This window comes from Homo sapiens, chromosome 4 (assembly GCF_000001405.40).
Source record: "Homo sapiens chromosome 4, GRCh38.p14 Primary Assembly".
Classification (NCBI taxonomy): Eukaryota; Metazoa; Chordata; class Mammalia; order Primates; family Hominidae; genus Homo; species Homo sapiens.
This window is the reverse complement of record NC_000004.12, coordinates 147,289,194-147,299,084: the sequence shown is the minus strand read 5'-3', so window position 1 is coordinate 147,299,084 and position 9,891 is coordinate 147,289,194. Positions and strand designations below refer to the sequence as shown.

The following is a 9,891-nucleotide window of genomic DNA, read 5'->3' as shown; positions in this document are numbered from 1 at the left end:
GAATCACTTTCCAGAGCACATTCTTTTTTTTGTTTTTTGGCATTTTTAGTAGAGATGGGGTTTCGCCATGTTGGCCAGGCTGGTCTTGAACTCCTGACCTCAGGTGATCCACCTGCCTTGGCCTGCCAAAGTGCTGGGATTACAGGTGGGAGCCACTGTGCCCGGCCCGAGTTTTTACATAAATATTATCACACAAAATGAAATCTATTCATGTTTTTCAAGAATATATTTTCTGGTTTCAAAACTAATACATACCTGGTGCAGCAACTTTGGAAAATAAGACATTAATAAAAAAAAGTTACTGTGAACCATATCACCTGAAATAATCACTGTAAACATGCAATTTATCTCCTTATGATGTTCTGCATATAAGCAAAACTCCCCTCAAAAATAAGCATTTCTGTTTTTTTTTTTAAGGCAGAGTTTTTATTAGTTTTCTTTTACTTGTTCATTTTTTTCTTTTTTTTTAATATAATTATACTTTAAGTTCTGGGATACATGTACAGAATGTGCACGTTTGTTACCTAGGAATACACGTGCCTTGTTGGTTTGCTACACCCATCAACCTGTCATCTACATTAGGTATTTCTTCTAATGCTATCCCTCCCCTAGCTCCCCACCCCACAGCAGCCCCCGGTGTGTGATGTTCCCCTCCCTGTGTCCATGTGTTCTCATTGTTCACCTCCCACTTATGAGTGAGAACATGTGGTGTTTGGTTTTCTGTTCCTGTGTTAGTTTACTGAGAATGGTGGTTTCCAGCTTCATCCATGTCCCTGCAAAGGACAAGAACTCATCCTTTTTTATGGCTGCATAGTATTCCATGGTGTATATGTGCCATATTTTCTTTATCCAGTCTATGATTGATGGGCATTTGGGTTGGTTCCAAGTCTTTGCTATTGTGAACGGTGCTGAAATAAACATATGTGTGCATGTATCTTTATAGTAGAATGATTTATAATCCTTTGGGTCTATACCCAGTAATAGGATTGCTGGGTCAAATGGTATTTCTGGTTCTAGATACTTGAGGAATTGCCACACTGCCTGCCACAATGGTTGAACTAATTTACACTCCCATCAACAGTGTAAAAGCATTCCTATTTCTCCACATCCTCTCCAGTATCTGTTGTTTCCTGACTTTTAATGATTGCCATCCTAACTGGCATGAGATGGTATCTCATTTTGGTTTTGATTTGCATTTCTCTAATGACCAGTGATGATGAGCTTTTTTTCATATGTCTGTTGGCCGCGTAAATGCCTTCTTTTGAGAAGTGTCTGTTCATATCCTTGGCCCACTTTTTGTTGAGGTTGTTTGTTTTTCTCCTGTAAATTTGTTTAAGTTTCTTGTAGAATCTAGATATTAGCCCTTTGTCAGATGGAGACATTGCAAAAATTTTCTCCCACTCTGTAGGTTGCCTGTTCACTCTGATGATAGTTTATTTTTTTGCTGTGCAGAAGCTCTTTAGTTTAATTAGATCTGGTTTGTCAAATTTTGGTTTTGTTGCCATTGCTTTTGGTGTTTGTCATGAGGCCTTGCCCATGTCTATGTCCTGAATGGTATTGCCTAGGTTTTCTTCTAGAGTTTTTATGGTTTTAGGTCTTACATTTAAGTCTTTAATCTGTCTTGAGTTAATTTTTGTATAGGGTGTAAGGAAGGGGTCCAATTTCAGCTTTCTGCATATGGCTAGCCAGTTTTCCCAACAGCATTTATTAAATAGGGAATCCTTTCCCCATTGCTCATTTTTGTCAGGTTTGTCAAAGATCAGATGGTTGTAGATGTGTGGCATTATTTCTGAGTCCTCCGTTCTGTTCCATTGGTCTATATGTCTATTTTGGTACCAGTACCATGCTGTTTTGGTTACTGTAGCCTTGTAGTATAGTTTGGAGTCAGGTAGCATAATGCCTCCAGCTTTGTTCTTTTTGCTTACGATTGTCTTGTCTATATGGGCTCTTTTTTTGATTTCATATGAAATTTATAGTAGTTTTTTTCTAATTCTGTGAAGAAAGCCAATGGTAACTTGATGGGGATAGCATTGAATCTATAAATTACTTTGGGCAGTATGGCCATTTCACGATATTGATTCTTCCTATCCATGAGCATAGAATATTCTTCCATTTGTTTGTGTCCTGTCTTATTTCCTTGAGCAGTGGTTTATTGTTCTACTTGAAGAGGTCCTTCACATCCCTTGTAAGTTGTATTCCTAGGTATTCTATTCTCTTTCTAGCAATTGTGAATGGGAGTTCACTCATGGTTTGGCTGCTTCTCTATTATTGGTGTATAGGAATGCTTGTGATTTTTGCACATTGATTTTGTATCCTGAGACTTTGCTGAAGTTGCTTATCAGCTTAAGGTGATTTTGGGCTGAGACAATGAGGTTTTCCTAATATACAATCATGTCATCTGCAAACAGACAATTTGACTTCCTCTCTTCCTATTTGAATATCCTTTATTTCTTTCTCTTGCCTGATTGCCCTGGCCAGAACTTCCAATACGATGTTGAATAGGAGTGTGAGAGGGCATCCTTGTCTTGTGCCAGTTTTCAAAGGGAATGCTTCTAGTTTTTGCCCATTCAGTATGATATTGGTTGTGGGTTTTTCATAAATAGCTCCTATTATTTTGAGATATGTTCCATCAATATCTAGTTTATTGAGAGTTTTTAGCACGAAGGGCTGTAGATTTTTGTTGAATGCCTTTTCTGCATCTATTGAAATAATCATGTATTTTTGTCATTGGTTCTGTTTATGTGATGGATTGTGTTTATTGATTTGCATATGTTGAACCAGCCTTGCATCCCAGGGATGAAGCCAACTTGGTCTTGGTGGATAAGCTTTTTGATATGCTGCTGGATTCAGTTTGCCAGTATTGTATTGTGGATTTTTGCATCAATGTTCATCAGGGATATTGGCCTGAAATTTTTGTTGTTGTTGTGTCTCTGCCAGTTTTTGGTATCAGAATGATGCTGGCCTCATAAGATGAGTTAGGGAGGAGTCCCTCTTTTTCTATTGTTTGGAATATTTTTAGAAGGAAGGGTACAAGCTCCTCTTGTACCTCTGGTAGAATTGGACTGTGAATCCATCTGGTCCTGGGCTTTTTTTGGTTGGTAGGCTATTAATTACTGCCTCAATTTCAGAACTTGTTATTGGTCTATTCAGGGATTCGACTGCTTTCTGGTTTAGTCTTGGGAGGGTGTATGTGTTCAGGAATTTATCAATTTCTTCTAGATTTTCTAGTTTATTTGCATGGAGGTGTTTATAGTATTCTCTGATGGTAGTTCATAAGTTTTTATTTCTGTGGGATCAGTGGTGATCTCCCCTTTATCATTTTTTATTGTGTCTATTTGATTCTTCTCTCTTTTCTTCTTTATTAGTCTGGCTAGCAGTCTATCTATTTTGTTAATCTTTTAAAAAAACCAGCTCCTGGATTCACTGATTTTTTTGAAGGGTTTTTGGTGTCTCTGTCTCCTTTAGTTCTGTTAGTTATTTCTTGTTTTCTGCTGGCTTTTGCATTTGTTTGCTCTTGATTCTTTACTTCTTTTAATTGTGATGCTAGGGTGTTGATTTTAGATCTTTCCCGCTTTCTGCTGTGGGCATTTAGTGCTATAAATTTCCCTCTAAACACTGCTTTAGCCATGTCCCAGAGATTCTGGTACGTTTTGTCTTTGTTCTCATTGAACTCTCATTCAAATAACTTATTTATTTCTGCCTTAATTTCGTTATTTACCCAGTAGTCATTCAGGAGCAGGTTGTTCAGTTTCCATATACTTGTGTGGTTTTGAGTGAGTTTCTTAATCCTGAGTTCTAATTTGATTGCACTGTGGTCTGAGAGACTGTCTGTTATGATCTCTGTTCTTTTGCATTTGCTGAGGAGTGTTGTACTTCCAATTATGTGGTCAATTTTAGAATAAGTGCGATGTGGTGCTGAGAAGAATGTATACTTGAGGTGGAGAGTTGATTTGACATGGGGAGTTCTGTAGATGTCTATTAGGTCTGCTTGGTCCAGAGCTGAGTTCAAGTCCTGAATATCCTTGTTAATTTTCTGTCTCTTTGATCTAATTTTGACAGTGGGGTGTTAAAGTCTCCCACTATTATTGTGCAGGAGTCTAAGTCTCTTTGTAGGTCTCTAAGAACTTGCTTTATGAATCTGGGTGCTCCTGTATGGGGTGCATATATATTTAGGATAGTTAGCTCTTCTTGTTGCATTGATCCCTTTGCCATTATGTAATGCTCTTGTCTTTTTTGATCTTTGTTGGTTTAAAGTCTGTTTTATCAGAGACTAGGATTGCATCCTGTGCTTCTTTTTGCTTTCCATTTGCTTGGTAAATCTCTTTCATCTCTTTATTTTGAGCCTATGTGTGTCTTTGCACATGAGAAGGGTCTCCTGAATACAGCACACCAATGAGTCGTGAGTCTTTATCCAATTTGCCAGTCTGCCAGTCTGTGTCTTTTAATTGGGGCATTTAGCCCATTTACATTCAAGGTTAATATTATTATATGTGAATTTGATGCTGTCATTATGGTGCTAGCTGGTTATTTTGCCCGTTAGTTAATGCAGTTTCTTCATAGTGTCGGTGGTCTTTACAATTTGCTATGTTTTTGCAGTGGCTGGTACTGGTTTTTCCTTTCCATATTTAGTGCTTCTTTCAGGAGCTCTTGTAAGGCAGGCCTGGTGGTGACAAAAGCCCTCGGCATTTGCTTGTCTGTAAAGGATTTTATTTCTCCTTCACTTATGAAGCTTAGTTTGGCTGGATATGCAATTCTGGGTTGAAAATTCTCTTCTTTAATAATGTTGAATATTGGCCCACACTCTCTTTTGGCTTATATATAGAAAGATCTGCTGTTAGTCTGATGGGCTTCCCTTTGTGGGCAACCCACCCTTTCTCTCTGGCTGCCCTTAACATTTTTTCCTTCATTTCAACCTTGGTGAATTTGATGGTTATGTGTCTCGGGTTGCTCTTCTCAAGGAGTGTCTATGTGGATTTCCTGAATTTGAATGTTGGCCTGCCTTAATAGATTGGGGAAGTTCTCCTGGATAATATCCTGAAGAGTGTTTTCCAACTTGGTTTCATTCTCCCCATCACTCAGGTACACCAATCAAACGTAGATTTGATATTTTCACATAGTCCCATATTTCTTGGAGGCTTTGTTCATTGCTTTTCATTCTTTTTTCTCTAATCTTGTCTTCACATTTTATTTCATTAAGTTGATCTTCAATTTCTGATATCCTTTCTTCTGCTTGTTCAATTTGGTTATTGATACTTGTGTATGCTTTATGAAGTTCTTGTGCTGTATTTTTTCAGCTCCATCAGGCCATTTATGTTCTTCTCTAAACTGCTTATTCTAGTTAGCAATTCCTTTAACCTTTTTTTCAAGGTTCTTAGCTTCTTTGCACTGGGTTAGAACATGTTCCTTTAGCTCAAAGGAATTTGTTATTACCCACCTTCTGAAGCCTACTTCTGTCAGTTCGTCAAACTCATTCTCCATCCAGTTTTGTTCCCTTGCTGGCGAGGAGTTGTGATCCTTTGGAGGAGAAGAGGCATTCTGGTTTTCGAAATTTTCAGCCTTTTTGCACTGGCATTGATTTTTCTTATCTTCGTGGATTTATCTACCTTTGACCCTTGATGTTGGTGACCTTTGAATGGGGTTTTTGTGTGGATGTCCTTTTTGTTGATGTTGATGCCATTCTTTTCTGTTTGTTCGTTTTCCTTCTACCAGTCAGGCCCCGCTGCTGCAGGTCTGCTGGAGTTTGCTGGAGGTCCACTCCAGACCCTGTTTGCCTGGGTATCACCAGCGGAGGCTGCAGAACAGCAAAGATTGCTTCCTGTTCCTCCCTCTGGAAGCTTCATCCCAGAGGGGCACCCACCAGACGCCAGCCGGAGCTCTCCTGTATGAGGTGTCTGTCGACCCCTGCTGGGAGGTGTCTCCTTGTGAGGAGGCACGGGGGTTAGGGACCCACTTGAGGAGACAGCTTCTCCCTTGGCAGAGCTCGAGCGCTGTGCTGGGAAATCCCCTGCTGTCTTCAGAGCTGGCAGGCAGGAACATTTAAGTCTGCTGAAGCTGTGCCCACAGCTGCCCCTTCCCCCAGATGCTCTGTCCCAGGGAGACGGAAGTTTTATCTATAAGCCCCTGACTAGGGCTGCTGCCTTTCTTTCAGAGATGCCCTGCCCAGAGAGGAGGAATCTTAGAGAGACAGTCTGGCTATAGTGGCTTTGCTGAGCTGCAGTGTGTTCCACCCAGTTTGAACTTCCTGATGGCTTTGTTTACACTGTGAGGTGAGAACTGCCTACTCAAGCCTCAGTAATGGCAGATGCCCCTCCCCCCACCAAGCCTGAGCATTCCAGCTCGACTTCAGACTGCTGTGCTGGCAGTCAGAATTTCAAACCAGTGCTGGGCTCTGTAGTGGTGGGATCCGTTGAGCTAGACCACTTGGTTACCTGGCTTCAGCCCCCTTTCCAGGGTAGTGAATGGTTCTGTCTTGCTGGCATTCCAGGCACCACTGGTGTATGAAAAGAAACTCCTGCAGCTAGCTCAGTGTCTGCCCAAATGGCCACCCAGTTTTGTGCTTGAAACCCCGGGCCCTGGTGGTGTAGGCACCCAGGGGAATCTCCTGGTCTGTGGGTTGTGAAGACCATGGGAAAAGCCTAGTATCTGGGTTAGAATGCACCGTCCTTCATGGCACAGTCCATCACGGCTTCCCTTTGCTAGGGGAGGGAGTTCCCTGGCCCCTTGCCCTTCCCCGGTGAGGCACCAACCCACCCTGCTTCAGCTCACCCTCTGTGGGCTGTACCCACTGTCTAACCAGTTCCAATGAGATGAGCCGGGTACCTCAGTTGGAAATGCAGAAATCACCTGTCTTCTGTGTTGATCTTGCTGGGAGCTGCGGACCGGAGCTGTTCCTCTTCGGCCATCTTGCCAGCCACCTCCCAAAAATAAGCATTTCTTAAAAGTTCTAGCAATAATCTGGAAAAGAAATAAGTTTATAAGATAACTTCCATCAATCTGAATTATGTAAACATTAACAAAATGAACTTAATTTACATTTACTTTTCATAAATATCAAGTTGTAAAGGCAAGTTACAATCAAGCTACTATTTGAAAAAATTATATCTCAAACTCCTGAATATTGGCCATAGCAAATAAAAAATCAGAGTATCTGGCATTTACCAGAAAGAGAATACATTATTTTAAGTTCCTCAAAGGAAACTTGAGTTACTGTTGAACTCCAGATGAATTAAAGGCTGAACTACTAATAAAGTAGCCAAGCTTTTTGATACAGAAGAACTAGAAATAGGAACACCACCACACCACAGGACAGACAGACTTACTGATAGATACATAAACGCATATGCATTCCTGTACAGACTGAAGACAAAAGTAGCTTAAAGTGACTGTTTGAAAAATCTGTTTAACTAGCAGGTCTTATGTACACTTGAATGCATACTCTAGTTTTAAGCAAGCCATTCTAATTTTCTTGTGATTGTTGATTCCTTAAAAGGTAACATATTTGACTTTCCAGTAGTATGCAGACTTTTGCTTATCTTATATTTCCTGGCAGAGATCCAGGCTAGGGTAATACTTTTCATTAATTTGGAAATCACAAATCTTTATTTATCACATGGTTCCTTCAGGTATGTGTAATCACATTTTCTACTGGAAGGGAGTCTGATATTCCAACATTGCATTTTTTTTTAAGATCTTCTAGCTAACATGATTGTGAGCTGCAGGGGTGCAAATATTAGTTAAGCATTCAGGAAGAGTGTTATTGCAGACTTTACATTTGACTATAAAGACATATAAAGATGTATTTTTTAAATTAAATTTTTAAACTTTTGTGATAATTGTAGATTCACATGGAATCATAGAAATACTATGGAGAGATCCACTTACCTAATACATTTTACCTAGTTTTCCCCAGTGGTAACATCTTACAATAGTACAGTATCACAAGTGAATTAAAAACACAGATATTGACATTGATATAATGCACCAATTTTATTCAGAGTTCCTCAATTTTACTTGCACTCATTTGTGTGTGTATGTGGTGATATTTTATCACTATATAGCACAAACACTGTATAGTATGCAGTGTATATAGTGATATTTTATCACATACGGGTTTACCTACATGCTACTACCAACACAACATTAAAGATGCAGATCAGTTAGATCACCACAGGGATCCCTCATGTTGCTGCATGCTTTTCCTTTACCATGCCCACCTCCCTCTTACTCTCACTCCCATCCCTAACCCCTTGCAACCATGCCTGTTCTTTATTTCTAAAATTTTATCGTTTCAAGCATATTATGGGAATGGAATCACACAGCCTGCAACTTTTTGGAATTGGCTTTTTTTTTTTAACTGAGCATTTCCTTGAAATTCATCTGAGTTGTGTGCTTCAATAGTTTGCTCCTTTTGTATTGTATGTAGAGTAATATTCAATGGTATGAATGTACCACTGTTTGTTTTACCATTCACTTATTGAAAGTTATCTATTCTTTTTTTCCCCAGTTTTTCACTTTTTAAATATAACTGCTAAGAATATTTTTGTATAGGTTTTGGTGTGAACATACATTTTCATTTCTTTGGGATAAATGCTCAATAGTGCAATTGCTTGGTCATATGGTAATTGCATGCTTAGTTTTATTATTGAATTTGAAGTGAGTTTCTTGTAAGTAGCATGTAGGTGGGGTGTGTGTGTGTGTGTGTGTGTGTGTTTAATATACCTTGCTACTTTCTGCCTTTAAAAGATGGTGTAATTAGACCATTTCCATTGTTAGGTCTTAAGTCTGTAATTTAATTATTTGTTTTCTGTTGTTTATTCTTTTCTATTTTTTTGCTTTTTTGTGAGTCACTTAACATTTTTTGAGATTCCTTCTTGAGTTATTTATATTGTTCTTGAGTGTCTCTCTTTCAGTAGTTTTCTTTGTGGTTTTGTATTTTAATTTTAATGTGACTTATCATGTAATCATTAGTATCAACATTTAGTATTTTAATGTGACTTATGTGATCACTAGTATCAACATTTTCCACTTTGTGTGAACCATGGAAACTTTATTTCCTTTTAGATCCATTTATACCTCCCCATTTTTTTTTTTCTCTTTGAGACAGAGTCTCACTCTGTCACCCCAGGCTGGAGTGCAGTGGCTGATCTTAGCTCACTGCAACCTCCGTCTCCCAGGTTCAAGCGATGCTTCTGCCTCAGCCTCCCAAGTATCTGGGACTACAGGCACATGCTACCACACCCAGCTAATTTTTGTATTTTTAGTAGAGATGGAGTTTAACCATTTTGGCCAGGCTAGTCTTGAACTCCTGACCTCAAGTGATCTGCCTGCCTCAGCCTCCCAAAGTGCTAGTATTACAGGCTTGAGCCACCATGCCCAGCCTTACCTTGCCAACTTGTTTTACATATTAGATGATGTAGATAAAATTCTTTGATACTACTCGAAGAGGTGGAGCCTAATTCCCATCCTAGGGAGTCTAGGCTGTACTTAGTGCCAAATAGAATAAAGTGGGAGTGATGGTATGCAACTTCAGAGACTAGGCTTACAGGACACCATTCTTTCTCTCTTGGAATTCATACTCTAGCGGAAACTGGCTGCCATTTTGTGAGCAGCTTTATGGAGATGCCCATGTGGTGAGAAACTGAGCTTCCTGCAAACAGTCACAAGAGTAAGCCATCCTGGAGGTGAATCATCCTCCAGCCTCAGTCAAGCTTTTATTTATTTATTTATTTATTGAAATGGAGTTTCACTCTGTCGCCCAGGCTGGAGTGCAGTGTTGCAATCTCAGCATGCTGCAACCTCCACCTCCCAGATTCAAGCGATCCTCTTGCCTCAGCCTCATAAGTAGCTGGGATTACAAGCACCCGCCACCACGCCTGGCTAATTTTTGTATTT

General features: G+C 39.7%; 1 annotated feature.

The window, feature by feature from the left end:
* Positions 5,572-6,771: an enhancer, noted in NCBI's record as "MED14-independent group 3 enhancer chr4:148213466-148214665 (GRCh37/hg19 assembly coordinates)". NCBI's record gives its function as "activates an origin of replication core promoter dependent on BRD2, BRD4, P300/CBP and CDK7 cofactors, and independent of MED14, by STARR-seq in HCT116 cells {active_cell/tissue: HCT116}" and the evidence as "EXISTENCE:reporter gene assay evidence [ECO:0000049][PMID:35650434]".